The 18144-nt window shown below is 51.3% G+C and overlaps 1 long non-coding RNA gene and 1 pseudogene across 1 annotated transcript in view; one reads left to right on the top strand and one right to left on the bottom strand.

Moving 5' to 3' along the window:
- Window positions 7610-9452, top strand: CICP22 (capicua transcriptional repressor pseudogene 22; annotated as a pseudogene).
- LINC00265 (long intergenic non-protein coding RNA 265) overlaps window positions 11424-18144 on the bottom strand; it is a 61056-nt gene continuing 54335 nt past the window's right edge. The window contains exons 9-12 of the long non-coding RNA NR_026999.1: window positions 17443-17565; window positions 16503-16693; window positions 14396-14453; window positions 11424-14303 (exon numbers count right to left, since the gene is read on the bottom strand). This is a non-coding gene — a long non-coding RNA (long intergenic non-protein coding RNA 265). The remainder of the gene's footprint in view (window positions 14304-14395; window positions 14454-16502; window positions 16694-17442; window positions 17566-18144) is intronic.

Genomic DNA, 18144 nt, shown 5'->3' with positions numbered 1-18144 from the left:
GTCAGGGCCTCACTATGTTCCCCACCCAGGCTGGTCTGGAACACCTGGCCTCAAGTAGTTCTCTCAAAGAACTAGAGGTGTGAGCCACCGCACCCGACCTCAAACTCTTTTTAAAACAAAAATGGGGCTGGGCGCAGTGGCTCATGCCTGTAATCCCAGCACTTTGGGAGGTTAAGGATGGGCAGATCATTTGAGTTCGGGAGTTTGAGACCAGCCTGGCCAACACAGCAAAACTCCATCTCTACTAAAAATATACAAATTAGCCAGGTGTGGTGGCACACGACTGTAATCCTGGCTATTTGGGAGGCTGAGGCAGGAGAATCACTTGAACCCAGGAGGTGGAGGTTGCAGTGAGCCAAGATCACACCACTGTACTCCAGCCTGGGTGACAGAGCAAGACTCCGTCTCAAACAAACAAACAAAAAAACTGCATACCCTTCTGTCACTTGCTTTTTTATTTACTACCTCAAAATTTTGAGGTTCATTCATCCAACAAATGTTTAGTTAGCCCTTAAATGTGTACTCAGAAGCAGCCAGGCACAGTGGCTCACGCCTGTAATCCCAGCAATTTAGGAGGCCGAGGCGGGTGGATCACGAGGTCAGGAGATCAAGACCATCCTGGCTAATATGGTGAAACCCTGTCTCTACTAAAAATACAAAAATTAGCTGGGTGTGGTGGCGGATGCGCCTGTAGTCCCAGAGGCTGAGGCAGGAGAATGGTGTGAACCCGGGAGGTAGAGCTTGCAGTGAGCCGAGATAGTGCCACTGCACTCCAGCTTGGGCGACAGAGTGAGACTTAATCTCTAAAAAAAAAAAAGTTAAATATGTACTCAGAAGCTAGGGACCCAGCAATGTCCTTGCCTTCAAAGGATTTTCATTGCAGTGGAGGGGACAGATGGTAGACAACAAGCAAGTAGTAATGAAAGACAAGAGAGAAATGACAGGTCACAGGTTAATAGGGCCCGGGTGCAGTGGCTCACACCTATAATCCCAGCACTTTGGGAGGCCAAGGCAGGCAGATCACCTGAGGTCAGGAGTTCAAGGCCAGCCTGGCCAACATAGTGAAACCCTGTCTCAACTAAAAGTACAAAAATTAGGTGTGGTAGTGTGTGCCTGTAATCCCAGCTACTTGGGAGGCTGAGGCAGAAGAATCGCTTGAACCAGGGAGGCGGTGAGGTTGCAGTGAGCTGAGATTGAGACACTGCACTCTAGCCTGGGCGACAGAACCAGATTTCATCTCAAAAATAAAAACAAACAGAAAAACAGTTAATGGGAAGACAGCCTGTATGGTCTGGTGTCATTTTTTAGTAATTCCGTGAAGTACAATGGAGTTTCCAGGTTTTCTCTGTGACAAAGGGATGCTGCTTTGTCACTTTTTTTTTCCTTTTGAGACGGGGTCTTACTCTGTAGCTCAGACTGGCGTGCAGTGATGCGATCACAGCTCACTGCAGCCTCGAACTCTTAGGCTCAGCAGATCTTCCCACCTTCTGAGTAGCTGAGACTACAGGTACATGCCACCGAACCTGGCTAATTTTTGTATTTTTTGTAGAGACAGAGTCTCACTAATGTTCCCCAGGCTGGTCTGGAACTCCTGGGCTCAAATAATCCTCCTGCCTTGGTCACCCAAAATGTTGGGATTACAGGCATGAGCCACTGTGCCCAGCTGAGACTTGATATTTAAATAGTGGTCTGGGGACCAGCAGCACTGACATCTCCTGGGGGCTTGTTAGGATTGCAGAATTTCAGGTCCTACTTCAGACCTGTTGATTGAGCATTTTCATATTAACAAGATTCACAGGTGATTTGTATGCACATTTTAGTTTGAGAAGGACTGATTTAGAATGGAAGATAAAAAACGGCAGAGAAAGAGTTAAATACCTCCAGTTCAATTAGGGATTGATGAGAGATGGTGTGATCTAAAACATTCTTCTGGGTTGAATTTGGCCTTGTTGCCTGGACTATCAATATTGTGGTGTTTATCCTCTTAGGGAGAGAACTCCAAACTCCAGATCATTTCCTTAATCTGCTTCTCTAACCAGGTGTGGGAATCCAGATTGCCTCAAAATCTCGAGCTGCTAAGGCTGGGAAGAGCCTGAGATGTCATCAGTTCAGCTCAATCCTTAGTTGCTGCCCTGCCCACTTCTGCCCACCCCCATTTCACAGGCGAGTCTCTGGGAAGGGCAGTGGTTTGCTCAAACTACATATCAGCCCAGGGCTGGCCAAAGTCCTGAGTCCCAGCCAGTACTTATCTTTTCTCTAAGTTTTGGTCCATTATTTTTTTCTTTTATGGATTCAGCCTATCTTTTTAGAAAAATGAATTTTAAAAACATATATTCATTCATATTATAAAAGTATCATAGGCTTATTGTAAAAAAAAATCAAACAGCGTTGGGTACAGTGGCTCATACCTGTAATCCCAGCACTTTGGGAGGCCAAGACGGGTGGTTCACAAGGTCAGGAGTTCGAGACCAGCCTGAGCAACAGGGCAAAACCCCATCTTTACAAAAAATTTTAAAAATTAGCCAGGTGTGGTGGTGCATGCTTGGAGTCCCAGCTACTCGGGAGGCTGAGGTAGGAAGGCTGCTTGAGCCCAGGAGATTATCAAAGCTGTAGTGAGCCGTGTTTGCATCACTGTACTCAAGCCGAGGCAACAGAGTGAGATCCTGTTTCAAAAAAAAAAAAAAGGCAGAGCTCAAGACATTAAAGTTTATTTTTCAGTTGTACTTTGGCACCTGTGTTACATGATCGGTTCTGGAACATTCTAGAATGTGGATTTCTGAAGTGGGTCTGTAGTGGAGGCCTATAGAGTTTTCACTGGACCTGCTTTGATCCTGTCTCTGCTGTGCAGCCTCGTGCAGTTATACTAGCTCTCTGATGAGCAGCTTCCTCCTCTTTGAGGATGTCAATATTGATACTTCATATATTATTTTGTTACCTAAACTACATTAAAGTTAGGAGAACATTTCTTGGAAAATGTCCTTAGTCCCTGCAATTCTTACTTATCAGCCCAGCCTCCTCCCTCCCCTCTCCCCATCCCGGTCCCCTCAGCTCTCCATTCAATTCCCCATTTCCACCATTTATCTCTCTAGCAGGGTAGGGAGGGGCTTGGGTTGCCCTGGAGGGGCTGGCCTGTGCTGGGTGAAGTTCACACCTGGGTGTGCCCTCAGGAAAGGGGCCTCTGGGGACAGGGTAACCATCAGAAAGGCTCAGGGCTCCCCAGTGTGCCATGCTGTCCTTTGTCCCATCTCTGATTCTGTGCTTACTGTGCCCAAGTATGGAATTGCAGGGTAGCAGCATGGGGACTTCCAGGTGGGCCCCTCCTAGCAGTGGGGGTTGCAGCCAATGAAGAATTCAGTCTCCTGACATAGGTCTCCCTCCAAAAGGGCATGTCTCCAGGACAGCTGCAGCAATTCCACATCCATATCACTCACTTTCTAGTTTTTTTGTTTTGTTTTGTTTTTGAGTCAGGGTCTTGCTCTGTGGCCCAGGCTGGAGTGCAGTGGCCTGGTGCGATCTCAGCTCACTGCAACCTCTGCATCCCGGGCTCAGGTGATCCTTCCACCTCAGTTTCTCAAGTAGCTGGGACCACAGGTGCCCACCACACCCAGCTAATTTTTCTATTTTTAGTAGAGACGGAGTTTCTCCAGGTTGCCCAGGCTGGATACTTTCTTTCTTTCTTTTCTTTTTTTTTTTTGACAGAGTCTTTCTCTGAGATGAAGTCTAGCTCTGTCCCCCAGGCTGGAGTGAAGTGGCATGATCTTGGCAAACTGCAACCTCTGTCTCCTGGGTTCAAGCGATTCTCCTGTGTCAGCCTCCTGAGTGGCTGGGATTACAGGCGTGTACTACCACACCTGGTTAATGGCTAATTTTTGTATTTTTAGTAGAGGTGGGATTTCACCATGTTGGCAAGGCTGGACTCAAACTCCTGACCTCAAGTGATCTGCCTGCCTTGGCTTCCCGAAGTGCTGGGATTACAGATGTGAACCACCGCGCCCAGCCTGCCATCCTTTTTAAGGCTGAAGAATCTTCCATTGTCTAGATAGACCACATCTTGTCATTCATTCTTCTGTTGATGGACACTTGGTTCCTTCCCCCTTTTGGCTATTGTGAGTAATGCTGCTATGAACATGGGTGCACAAATATCTTTTTGAATCTAGTGAATATATTTTATCTCTGCCAGTGAGTCTATCCAAAGAAAAGGGAAATCATCTTTGCCCGGAGTGTTCTGATTGTGCCTACACTTGGCAGGCACCCTCCAAGTGAGAGCAGAGAAAAGGAAGAAAAGAGGAATGAAAATTGGTTGGGAGGGTTGGGGTGGAGGAGGTGAATAAACACTACTGAGTGCTCCCCTTATGGAAAGATTTATACACGGGCAGCCCAAAAAGCAGAGGCATCTCCCAGAGTTTCATCCAGGTAACACCCCTCCAAACACATCCAAACAGAAGCATGCTAGGACATGAGGAATTACAACGAGGCCATATATATATATATATATATAGTCTTTTTTTTTTTTTGAGATGGAGTTTTGCTCTTGTTGCCCAGGCTGGGGTGCAATGGCATGATCTTGGCAACCTCCACCTCCCAGGTTGAAGCATTTCTCCTGCCTCAGCCTCCAGAATAGCTGGGACTACAGGTGCACACCACCACACCCGGCTAATTTTGTATTTTTAGTAGAGACAAGGTTTCGCCACGTTAGCCAGGCTGGTCTCAAACTTCTGACCTCAGGAGATCCACCCGCTTCTGCCTCCCAAAGTGCTTGGGATTACAGGCATGGCCCACCATGCCCCGCCAATAAAAAATTTTAAAAAATTGCTCCAGATGAGAACATCAAGGCTGAGGGTTACTAACTTGTTCACGCTATTGAGTACAGAGATAGGTCTGAGATCTGGGTGGCCTGTTCCCAAGCCAGTGCTCTTTCAGGCCACAAACTTTCTCTTGGCCTGTGCCCACGAAGGGAGCCCAGGGGTCAGTGTGCAAGCTTGCAGAGGGAGAGCAGCCTGGTTACATGTAGGGAGCATGCCCTGGGAGTGAGTGTTCTTTTTTTTTTTGAGACAGGGTGTCACTGTGTCACCCAGGCTGGAGTGCAGTGATGTGATCTCAGCTCACTGCAACCTCTGCCTCCCAGATTCAAGGAATTCTCCTGCCTCAACCTCCCAAGTAGCTGGGACTAGAGGCATGCGCCACCATGCCCAGCTAATTTTTGTATTTTTAGCAGAGGCGGGGTTTCGCCATGTTGGCCAGGATGGTCTGAAACTCCTGGCCTCAAGTGACCCCCCCACCTCAGCCTCTCAAAGTGCTGGGATTACAGGCTTTGGCCACCACATCTGGCCTGAGTGTTAATTCTTTTTTTTCGAGACGGAGTTTCCCTCTGTCGCTCAGGCTGGAGTGTAATGGTATGATCTAGGCTCACTGCAACCTCCACCTCCTGGGTTCAAGTAATTCTCCTGCCCCAGCCTCCTGAGCAGCTGGGATTATAGGCATGCACCACCATGCTCAGCTAATTTTGTATTTTTAGTAGAGAAGGGGTTTCTCCATGTTGGTGAGGCTGGTCTTGAACTCCCAAGCTCAGGTGATCCGCCCGCCTTGGCCTCCCAAAGTGCTGGAATTACAGGCATTGGCCACCACGCCCAGCCTGAGTGTTAATTCTTGAAGCATTTGGCTGCCCTAGTGAGGCCCCTGCAGCCAACCCCGTCAGTGGTGGCCCTTGTCCAGAAGAGGCACACCTGTGAGTTGGCCAGCATCAGTCTCTGGTGTTGGGCATGAGGCAGGAAACGAGCCCCTCTGTCTGCTGAGCTGAGCCCCAGCACTCTTTGGACACCCCCGCCATAGTGAGCAGATGCCCAGCAAACATCTTTCCAGGGCTACTACCAAAGGCCAGGGTTTACCTGTGTGAGAGCTTATATGAAACACGGAAGAGCTTCTACCAGTTATGCATTTATTTTCATGTGTAAGAAGGAAAACATAACTAGCCTGTGAACATGACTGCATGGATACATGGGCTCGGCACAAGGAGAAAGCCAGGAGTGAGTGAAAACAAAATAACATGTTGATTTAAGTGAAATAATAGAACAGGATGCCTTTGGTTATAACAGTTCTGGAGGTGGTCTGTGAATGCAGAAGTTCGGGACTCCCTCCCTGCTCTAGGCTTAGGGCTAGATGCTGTGTTCTGGGCTGAAGCCCCTGGGTTCTACAGAGAAGCTCGACCAGTGCATGGCCCCTGTGGCATTCTCCCAGGAGCCTGTGGGACAGCGAGACCTCAGGGAGGAAAGCACATTCTGTTTAACTTGTCCATGCCCTACAAAATGTCTTAGAAGAGATGAAGCAACAACGATGATTCTCCCTCAAAGGGAAGAAGAATCTGCCAGGTGTCGCTTTGAGGAGGCAGTGGTTACAAGACAGGCTGGGCTGCAGAGCCCAAGTGGGAGGCTGCAGTGAGCCAAGACCACGCCATTGCACCCTGGCCTGGGTGACAGAGCAAGACTCCATCTCGAAAAAAAAGAGAGAGAAAAGAAAGCCATCGAGACACCATTAGGCAATCCACTGTCATGTGAGTTTGAGAAGGAAAGTAGAGATAGGAGAAGGAAGTTTATTTAAAGAAAGGATGGCTGAAACTGCCTAAATCATGGGAAAGATTTAGACATCCAAGTGCATGAAGCTTAAAGATTCCTAAAGAGGTTAAAACCAAATATATATAATCACAATATAATCAAATAGTCAAAAGTCAAAGATTTTTTAAAATGTTGAAGAGGCAAGAGACAAGTGGCATGACACCAACAAGAGAATCTTCATTAAACTATCAGCAGATTTCTCAGAAGAAACTTTGAAGGTCAGGAGAGAATTGAAGAATATATTCAAAGTGCTGAAAGAAAAAAACTGCCAGCAACTAATACTATATTTGACAAAGCTATCCTTCAGAAAGAAAGAATAAATAACATGTTCCCTAGACAAACAAAGCTGAGGTAATTCAGGAGCACTAGGTCTACTTTAAAAGAAATGCTTAACGGAGTTTTTCAAGTAAAAATGAAAGAAAGCAGCTGGGTGTGGTGGCTCATGCCTGTAATCCCAGCATTTTGGGAGGCCGAGGAGAGTGGATCACTTGAGGTCAGGAGGTCAAGACCAGCCAGGCCAACATGGCAAAAACCCATGCCTTCTAAAAATACAAAAAATTAGCCAGGTATGGTGGCGGGTGCCTGTAATCCCAACTACTCAGGGGGCTGAGGCAGGAGAATCAATTAAACCATGAGGCGGAGGTTGCAGTGAGCCGAGATCACACCACTGCCCTCCAGCCTGGGCAACAGAGCAACACTCTGTCTCAAAAAGAAAAAAAAAAGAATGCTAATTAATCACATGAAAGCATAAGAAAATATATAATATTCAGCAGTAAAGGTGCATATACTTGGGAGGCTGAGGCCGGAGAATTGCTTGAACCCAGGAAGTGGAGGTTTCAGTGAGCTGAGATCGCACCACTGCACTCCAGACTGCCAAACTGCACCTCCAAAAAAAAACAAAAAAACAAAAAACAAAAAACAAAACTTGAGGCCTGGTCTCGTGCTCCCCTCCCATCCCCCCTTCCGTGGGTCCAAGCTGCCTTGGCTGAGGAGGGGGCTGAGGAGGTGTGAGCCCCTGCCAGGAACCCCCTGCCCAGACCATGTACTTGGCCCACAGGCCCCTGATGTCTGCGTCCAGCGAGGCCTCCGGTGGCGTCAGCATGTTTGTGTGGAGGAACGTGGAACCTTGCTCTGTGGCTGTGTTCTCCTGGTACTCTGTCCCCTTCCTGACCCCTCCCTGCAGCCACGTGAGGCCTAGCAACCTGCCAGTCACTCAGTGGCCTCCAACCAGAGCAAAGAACCTGCCAAGTCAGCAGCTGTTGCTCACGAGTGTCCACCAGGTGGGACAGGGAGTGCTGACCTTCGGCAGCCCCCTGGATCCACCTGCCCTGAAAGCCCAGGGCCCGGAACCCCACACACTTTGGGGGTAGTGGAACCTGGTAAAAGCCCACCTCCCACCATGAAGGAGGAGCCCTGGGCCCCTCAGGGAAGTCCCTGCTGGACAGTGAGACAGAGAATGACCATGATGATGCTTTCCTCTCCGTTATGTCTCCTGACACCCAGTTGCCTCTACCACTCAGATGATGTCAGGCCCAGTCCCTCAGTGCCCTGCACAAGGAACAGGACTCATCTTCTGAGAAGGATGGATGCAGCCCCAACAAATGGGACAAGGACCACATCCGGTGGCCCATGAGTGGCGGTCATGATCTTCAGCAAGTGGCACCAGATCCTGGCAGGGCGCACCAGGGTCACCCCAACCAGGATAACCGGACCGTCAGCCAGATCCTGAGCGAGCGGTGGTACACCCTGGGGCCCAATGAGACGCAGAAGTACCACGACCTGGCCTTCCAGGTGAAGGTGGCCCACTTGCAACAAGGACCGAAAGAAGTCCAGCTCAGAGGCCAAGCCCACAAGCCAGGGGCTAGCAGGAGTGTACAAGGGCTCGTGGGAGCAGAGCATATCACAGACGGGCACTGCCACTGCCCCTGGGGTGTCCTCTGAACTCCTGTCAGTTGCAGCCCAGACACTCCAGAGCTCGGATACCAAGGAGCAGCTTCTGTGGGGCAGAACGGCTGCACACAGTCAGGGAACCTGGCTCAGCCTGGCCCAAGCCTTCTCCCACAGGGGGGTACACAGCCTGGATGGCAGGGAAATAGACCATCGGGCACTACAGGAACTGACACAGGTGGTGTCTGGCACTGCATCATACTCTGGCCCAAAGCCTTCTACTCAGTATGGAGCTCCAGGCCACTTTGCAGCCCCTGGTGAGGGAGGTGACCAGTGGGCAGCCCTGCTGCTGCCCACCTAAGCTGCTCATTCCCAGCACATGGCCAGCGAGGTCATAGCGAGTGACGAGGAGCACATGGTCATCCATGAGGAGGAGGGGGTGATGATGTCATTGCTGATGACGGCTTTAGCACCACTGACACTGATCTCAAGTTCAAGGAGTGGGTGACCGACTGAGAGTGGGGACAGCTCTGGGGAGGAGCCAGAGGGCAACAAGGGCTTTGGTGGGAAGGTATTTGCACCTGTCATTCCTTCTTCCTTTACTCCTGCCGCCCCTTGCTGGATCCTGAGTCCCCCGGGTCCCCCGATCCACCTGCAGTTTTTGGCAAAGTCTATGGTCCCACCCCGTCCTCCTCCTACACATACTCGGATGCTTCCTCCTCAACCTTGGCACCCACCTCCTTCTTACTGGGCCCAGGAGCCTTCAAAGCCCAGGAGTCTGGTCAGGGCAGCAGAGCGGGCCCCCTACGGCCCCTACCCCTGGGGATGGGGGCCCAGGGACGCCTTCCAAGGCGACCTGTTTCCTCCCAATGGATCCTGCCACCTTGTGGTGCAAGAGACCTGAAAGTGTGGGCGACCTGGAGCTACCAGGCCCCTCAGTCATCGCAGTCCCTCCCAACACTAAGGCTTTCCTAGGCAGGAGCTGGGCTGAGCCACCCGGGGGGCAGAGCCTGAAGAGGAGAAACTGACTGGGCTTTGGGGGTCGGGGCAGAGGGAACCCCACGGACATGGATCCCGCACTGGAGGACCCCACCATGCCCAAATGCAGGATGAGAAGATGCTCCATCTGCAGCCCAAGTGTGCCATGTGTGATGGGGACAGCTTCCCCTTTGCCTGTACAGGTGAAGAAGCCGAGGACGGGCTCAGGGAACTGGAGACCGAGAAGGCGCTGTCCTCTTCACTGCACGCGCCCTGGACCAGTGCTGGCCCTGATCATGCAGCTCTTCCAGGCCCACTGCTTCTTCCTGTCCACTAGGCCACAGCCGCTCTCCAGGCCCACTATACACACATCTTCCTCTCCAAGGTTTGTTCTGCCCCTGCCCTGATTCCCACCCCTGCGGGGGTCCTGACCCCACCTCACCTGGCTCAGACTCTGAAGCTGCCCTACCACTGCCTCTGCCCGAGAGTCACATGAGGCTGAGAGTAGGGGCAGGGGCAGCAGTGGTGCCAGTTGGGGGGCAGTCCAGTGGGAGGAGCCTCAGCCTCGCGGGCTGCTCCGTGGGACTGATGACTGCATGATCTTCTGGGCACCTCATGGATCTTCCACTGCAGGTGAAACAGATGCTGGTGGTGGGTCCAGGGCTGCTGGGAGCCGCTGCCTGGGTCCCAGAGGCTGGACTGGGGCAGGTGCCAACTGAAGCTGCTGGGGCAGTATGGGCAGGATGTTCTGCACACAAACCTTGAAGAAGAAGATGTGTGCATAGCGGGTCCACTGCTGCTGCCCCTGCCCTGACTCCCAGCCCTGCCTGACCCCACCTCACCCTGCTCAGGCTCTGGCGCAACCCTGGCTGCCCTGCCACTGCCTCTGCCCCAGAGTTGGGGCCTCGACAGCCTGGCTGGAAGGGGCACCCCAGCCCTGCCTCAACACCTGGGTCCCTCCATAACTACCACAGGCAGGTGGGCCACCCCAAAGAAGATCCTAGGACTCACAGTACCCCCTGAGAACATGGACATTATGTGGGGGTAGCAATGGAGGGCAGGATGGTTATCTTCTCCCGGGTAAAGCCATTTAATCCTTTCAGTTTGGGACGGAATAAAGCCTGCTTCTCTTTTTTTTTTTTTTTTTTTTGAGACAGAGTCTTGCTCTGTCACCCAGGCTGGAGTGCAGTGGTGCGATCTTGGCTCACTGCAACCTCTTCCTGCTGGGTTCACGCCATTCTCCTGCCTCAGCCTTCTGGGTAGCTGGGATTACAGGTGCACGCTAACATGTCCAGCTAATTTTTGTATTTTTAGTACAGACGGGGCTTCATCATCTTGGCCAGGCTGATTTCGATCTCCTGACATCGTGATCCGCCTGCCTCCACCTCCCAAAGTGCTGGGATTACAGGCATGAGCCACCACGCCTGGCCAAGGCCTGCTCCTCTTGTATATACCCCCTACCCCTGCTGCTGTGCAGGGGGAAAGCTTGGCAGTTTCCCTCCTCTGAGCCCCTGTACATACCATGAAGTGTGGGACCTTCAGAGCTTTTCACTTTTCGGAAAATAGCTCCTGCTGGGGCTACAAGATGGAGTGTGAAGAGGGCCTTGGGCCACAGGGAGGCGCCTGTGGAATAGGGGGAGTTCATGCACCCCTTCTTTCCCCAGAGGGGCTGGACTCAGGTGAGTATGGGGGTGGGGGCTCCTGCACTTCGACACAGGCAGTGGGAGGGTTTTCTCCCCATTCCCTCTGCACTCCCAACTTAAGCTGTACTTTTTAAGAAAGTGATTCACCCTGCCTTTGCCCCCTTCCCCAGAACAGAACACGTTGATCATGGGCGATATTTTTCATTGTGCCAAAAAGTTGCCATGACCGTCATTAAACCTGTTTAACACCAAATAATAAGGAAAATAAAATAAAAAATTCGGGCTTGGTGCAGAAACTCACTCCAAATAAATTACCTACCAAAATATTTATATAATGGTGGAAATATTCCAAAATTCCATAATTTGGGATTTATACACAAAAGATAAAAAAATTAGAGGCCAAGAGGCTGCCGGAAGGGAAAAACGGGGCCTGGAAAGGCCGTTGTGAGGAATGAGCTGGGCCTAAAGAGGCCACTGGCAGGCAGGAGCTGGGCCTGCCGAAGTGGCCGAAAGGCAGGAGCTTTGGACTGGGGAGGGTGCAGTGAGGCGAGAGCTAGCTGGGCGTGGAGAGTCCGCTGTGAGGCCGAGGCCGGGCCCATGCAGACCTTCGAGAGGCAGGAGGCCGGGCCTGCAAAGGCCGACTGGAGGTCAAGTTCTGGGCCTGAAGAGGCCACCAAAAGTCAAAAGCGGGGCCTGGGAAGACCGCCGAGAGCCATGAGCTGGGCTGGGCCGAAAGAGGCCACTGAGGCAGGAGGAGCTGGGCCTGGAGAGGCTGACTCGAGGAAGTTTTGCACCTGGAGAGGCCGCCGAGAGGACGGAGCTGGGCCCGGGGAGGCCGACTTGCAGCTCTTCCAGGCCCATTTCCAGGCCGACTTGAGGACGACTTAGGCCTGCAGAGGCCGCCGGGAGGCTGGAGCTGGGCCTGGAGAGGCCGACTTCAGGACGATTTGGGCCTGCAGAGGCTGCCGGGAGGCCCAAGCTGGGCCTAGAGGAGCCCACCGACCGGAGGCCGTTTGGGGCCTGGAGACGCTGTCGGAGGGCAGGAGCTGAGCCTGGAGAGGCCACCGTGAGGCCTGAGCTGGGCCTGGGGAGCTTGGCTTCAGGAAGTTGTGGGCCTACCAGGGCCGCTGGAAGCTGCGGGGGAGCTGAGTCCAAAGACCTTGTTGGGAGGCCGGAGTTGGGCCTGGAGACGCAGCCGGGAGGAAGAGCTGGGCCCGGAGAGGACGCCGGGAGGCTGCAAGTGGGTCTGGAGAGGCCAACTTGAGGAGGCCCAGCCTCTGCCTCCCGCATGGCGGCCTCTGCAGGCCCAGCTGTTCCTCCTGGCTGCATCTCCCGGCCCAGCTCCTGCCTCCCAGCAAGCAAGCTCTTTCGGCTCAGCTCTCGCCGGCGTTTGTAGACCCCAAAGTTTCTGCAGCCAAGCTCTTCAGGCCCACATCCTGCCTCCCAGTGGCCTGTACAGTCCCAGCTCTGGCTGGAGAAGAGCGTCTGCAGGCCCTGCTGTTGCCTCCCAGGGGCGTCTCCAGGCCAAGCTCTTGCCCCACCGCGGCCTCCCGGGGCCAAGTCCCTGTCCGCCTTCCGGCAGCCCGCGTGCGGCCCTGCTCCTCCCTCACGGTGGCCTGTTGAGGCAGGGGCTCACGCTGACCTCTGTCAGCGTGGGAGGAGCCGGTGTGAGGCAGGGGCTCACGCCTCTGGGCAGGGTGCCAGAGGCATGAGTTGGGCATCAACAGGCCACCGTGAGGGAGGAGCTGGGCTGCATGCGGGATGCCGGGAGGCAGGCAGGGACTTGGCCCCGGGAGGCCGCTGTGGGGGCGAGAGCTGGGCCTGGAGAGGCCCCTGGGAGGCAAGAGCGGGGCCTGCAGAGGCTGTTCTCCAGCCAGAGCTGGGCCTGTACAGGCCACCGGGAGGCAGGAGGTGGGCCCGAAGAGCTTGGCTGGAGAAAGTTCGGGGCCTACAAAGGCGGTTGGGAGCTGGGCAGGAGCTAAGCCAAAAAAGCTTGCTTACTTGCTGGGAGGCAGGGCCGGGAGAGGCCGACTTCAGGACGACTTGGGCCTGCAGAGGTCGCCGGGAGGCCCAAGCTGGGCGTGGAGGAGCCCACTGGCCGGAGACCATTTGGGGCCTGGAGACACCATCGGAGGGCAGGAGCTGATCCTGGAGAGGCCACCGTGAGGCCTGACCTGGGCCTGGGGAGCTTGGCTTGAGGAAGCTGTGGGCCGACCAAGGCCGCCAGGAGATGGGCAGGCACTGAGTCCAAAGAGGTTGTTGGGAGGCAGGAGTCGGGCCTGGAGACGCAGCCGGGAGGAAGAGCTGGGCCTGGAGAGGACGCCCGGAGGGTGCAAGTGGGTCTGGAGAGGCCAACTTGAGGAGGTTCTGGGCCCGGAGAGGCCGCCGGAAGGGAAAAACGGGGCCTGGAAAGGCCGTTGTGAGGAATGAGCCCCATGGGCCTGAAGAGGCACTGGCAGGCGGGAGCTGGGCCTGCCGAAGCGGCCGAGAGGCAGGAGCTTTGGACTGGGGAGGCCGCAGTGAGGCGAGAGCTAGCTGGGCGTGGAGAGTCTGCTGTGAGGCAGAGGCTGGGCCTGTGCAGGCTTCGGGAGGCAGGAGGCCGGGCCTTGTCGAGGCCTGCAGAGGCCGCCAAAAGTCAAAAGCGGGGCCTGGGAAGGCCGCCCAGAGGCATGAGCTGGGCTGGGCCGAAAGAGGCACTGGGAGGCAGGAGGAGCTGGGCCTGGAGAGGCTGACTCGAGGAACTTTTGCACCCGGAGAGGCCGCCGAGAGGCTGGAGCTGGGCCTGGGGAGGCCAACTTGAGGACGACTTGGGCCTGCAGAGGGCGCCGGGAGGCAGGAGCTGGCCCTGGACAGGCCGACTTGATGACAGTCTGGGCCTGCAGAGGCCGCCGGGAGGAAGAGCTGGGCCTGGAGAGGCTGCCAAGAAGCATGAGCTGGGCCTGGTGACGTCGACTTGAGAAAGTTCAGGGCCTAGAGAGAAGGCTGGGAGGCAGGAGCTGGGTCTAAAGAGGCCATTGTAACGATGGAGCTGTGCCTGTGGAGGCTGTTGTGAGGCAGTAGCCTCATCTGCGGAGACTGCCGTGAGGTAGGGTATGGGCCTAAATAGGCCATTGTGAGTCATGAGCTTGGTCTGTGGAGGCCGACTGGAGAAAGTTCTGGGCCTGGAGAGGCTGCCGGGAGGTAGGAGCTGGGCCAAAAGATTTAAGCAGATTACATTTATTAGGCACTTTATTTCCATTAGTACACTGTAATATATAATAAAATAATTATAGAACTCACCATAATGTAGAATCAGTGGGCGTGTTAAGCTCGTTTTCCTGCAACTGGATGGTCCCACCTGAGCGTGATGGGAGAAAGTGACAGATCAATAGGTATTAGAGTCTCATAAGGACAGCGCAACCTAGATCCCTCACATGCACGGTTCACAACAGGGTGCGTTCTCCTATGAGAATCTAATGCTACTGCTGATGTGAGAAGGTGGAGCTCAGGCGGGAATGTGAGCAAAGGGGAGTGGTTGTAAATACAGACGAAGCTTCCCTCACTCCCTCACTCGACACACTCACCTCCTGCTGTGTGGCTCCTTACGGCTCCATGGCTCAGGGGTTGGGGACCCCTGCTCAAGAGCATCCAAAACGACCCTTCCCACACCAGTCTTCATAGTGGTCAAGTGCAGCAACCACTTAGCTCCCAAGGCATGTGCCTCAGCTGGCATGTCATCACAATCAACAGTAAGTGGTAGCTTGAGTCATTGTGAGGTCACTTCCTGGAAATCACCAGCATCCCATTTCCCACTGGCAAAGAGCTCAGCACTGCCCCCTGGGAAACCAAACCTATGCCCAAATCCCATCTGTGTGGGTTTATCTCCTGGGACCCTTCCTAACATATTAGTCAGAGTCCAATCAGGAAGCATAAACCACTCAAAAGTTTAAAGTGGTAAAATTTAATACAGAGAATTATTCATTATAACAGGTGAGCAGCATAATGAGAGATTGGCTAGCACAAAGTAAAGAGAACTCTAGAGAATATAGGACTAGCCCAGGCCAGGCATGGTGGCTCATGCCTGAAATTCCAGCAATTTGAGAAGCTAATGCAGGAGGATTGCTTAAGGCCAGGAGCTAGAGACCGGTCTGGACAACACAGTGAGACCCTGTCTCTATCCAAAAAAAGAAAAAAATTAGCTGGGAGTGATGGTGCACACTTGTAGTCCCAGCTACTCGGAATGCTAAAGTTTGAGCCTGGGAGGTCAAGGCTGCAGTCAGGCATGATTATGCCACTACAGTCCAGCCTGGTGACAGAGCAAGACCCTGTCTCAAAGAACAAAACAACAACAACCATTTACAGACAGAAAAGAAATAGAGCTAATAAGCTAAGGAAAGATGTTGAAATGTGACAAGCAAAGTAATATGAGGTCTTTTATCTATTTAAAATAATCAAACAAAAAATGACTTAATTATAATACCCTGTGCTGGCAAAGGTGCAGTGAAATGGGCACTTTCTTATACTATGAGGGGTGTTTAAATTGTGTATAAGCCTTCCAGGGTAAAGCTTGTCAATTTTTTAAAATAATAGAGACAGGGTCTCACCATACTGCCATACTGCCTCCTCAAACTCTTGGCCTCAAGCAATCCTCCTGTCTTAGCCTCCCAAAGTGCTAAGATTATAGCTGGGAGGCACCCAAAACCTTGTCAATTTACATCAAGGGTAATGACAATGTCCATTCGCCATGACTCACAGTAATCTTACTTCTGGGGAGACAATTCAGTCTAAACAAAAGGTCATCTGTACAAACACAGTAAAAATCTGGGAGTAACTGAAGACAGAGTTGGTAAGTGAAATAAGAAAGTTATAAGAAATTAAACTATGGTATCAATAGGCACCTGGTAAAAGGTCAGTTGATGTTAGCTGCTACTTTTTTGTTGTTTTGAGACAGGGTCTCACTCTGTCACCCAGGCTGGAATGCAGAGGCCTGATCATGACTCACTGCAGTCTCAGCCTCCCTGGGCTCAAGTGATCCTCCCAGCTCAGCCTCCCAAGTAGCTGGGACTACAGGAACATGCCACCACACTAGGCTAATTCATATATTTTTCTGTAGGGATGGTGACTCCCTTTGTTTCCAAGGCCTATCGCAAACTCTTGGCCTCAAGCCATCCTCCTGCCTCAGCCTCCCAAAGTGTTGCGATTACCAGTGTGAGCCACCACACCTGACCAGCTGCTACTTTTATCAATATTATTATTATTCCACTCAATTAAAAATTATTATTTTCAAGGCTACGCAACAGTATGTATCCTACAGCGTAATTGTAAAAACATATACAGTCCTCCCTCAGTATACAGAATTAGTTCCAGCCCCCCATCTCTGCATATACCAAAATCCATGCTTACTCACGTTTCGCTGTCACCCCTCTGGAATCCACGTATAGGAAAATTCCAAATATTAGTTGGGCATAGTGGCAAGCGCCTGTAGTCTCAGCCACGTGGGAGGTTGAGATGGGAGGATCGCTTCAGCCTGGAAGGTTGAGGCTGCAGTCAGCTGTGATAGCACTACTACACTCCAGCCTTGGACAACAGAGGGAGACCCTGTCTCAGAAAAAAAAAAATAAATAAATAAAACAGGTTAGAAATTGTAATGAGGTCTGTTGGGCAAAATTCCATATAAGCAAAGTATAAATTAATAAAGCAAATGGTGATAAATTAGTACAATTGACTTTCTGGAGTTTCTGACAATAAAAGTAAGGAAAATGCAAAACACAAAGACAGAGAGTAAAAAGAGAAATTAGGAAAGCATTCTACATGTTTAATAGGAAGACACTGGCCATGTTCGTGCAGCAGCAGTATGTCATGATATGACATACCTTGGAGAGAAGTTAACAGATGAGGAAGTTGATAAAAATGATCAGAGAAGCAAAATACTGGTAGCGACACTCAAGTAAACCACGAAATTTCCATAACTTATGTCAGCAAAGTGGGAATATTGTACAGTGTGTGTTGAAGTTCCTATACAACATTGTTTATCTGCCTTTTGTTTGTTTGTAAGGAATGTATATACTAAAAGTTCTTCTTGCTGTCAAAAGAATATGTGTGAATAAGTCATTTTAACTTATTCTGTTTTTCTCTTATCTTCCTGCCATCATCCCACAGCCTTACTTTAGAAATTTTTTTTTTAGAAAATTGAACAAGTGCTCCTTGTGGTGGCACATACCTCTAGGATGGGAGGCAGGGGTGGAAGGGTCACTTGAGGCCATGAGTTTGACACCAGCCTGGCCAACAAAGTGAGACCCCATGTCTACAAAACAATTTAAAAATTAGCCAAGTATCGTCATGTATACCTACAGTCCCAGCTACTCAGGAGGCTCAGGTAGGAGGATCCTTAGCCCAGGAGTTCAAGGCTGCAGTGAGCTGTGATAGCACTACTGTACTCAAGCCTGGGCGACAGGGTGAGACCCCATCTCCTAAAATAAAAAACAAAGAAAAAAAATAGTTCAAGTAGCAAGTTGTATGTGGCTTACTCTGAATATTTCTAAACTAGAAATTCTCAATCTTTTGGGGTCTAACATCCCTTTACATTTTTTAACTTTATTGAAGATCTCTAAGACTATTTCTTTCTGTAAATAATTATATTAAAACTAGAAAATAAGACAAAAATTTTTAAATATTACTCATCACATATTAATAAAGCCATTACATGTTAATATAATAGAAGATTTTAAAAATATTTAATATTCTTTATATATTAATAATAAAACCATTACATGTTGATATAATACTTTTTTTTTCTTTGATACAAAGTCTTGTTCTTTTGCCCAGGCTGGAGTGAAGTGGCGCAATCTCAGCTCATTGCAACCTCCGCCCCGCAGAGGTTCAAGCGATTTTCCTACCTCAGCCTCCCAAGTAGCTGGGATTACAGGCACCCACTACCATATCTGGCTAATTATTGTATTTTCTTAGTAGAGAAGGAGTTTTCTTAGTAGAGAAGGCTGGTCTTGAACTCTTGACCTCAGGTGATCCACCCGCCTGGGTCTCCCTAAGTG

The sequence above is a fragment of the Homo sapiens genome, chromosome 7 (genome assembly GCF_000001405.40).
Source record: "Homo sapiens chromosome 7, GRCh38.p14 Primary Assembly".
Taxonomy (NCBI): Eukaryota; Metazoa; Chordata; class Mammalia; order Primates; family Hominidae; genus Homo; species Homo sapiens.
Note: the sequence above shows the minus strand (reverse complement) of the source record. Positions and strands in the feature narration are given on the sequence as shown.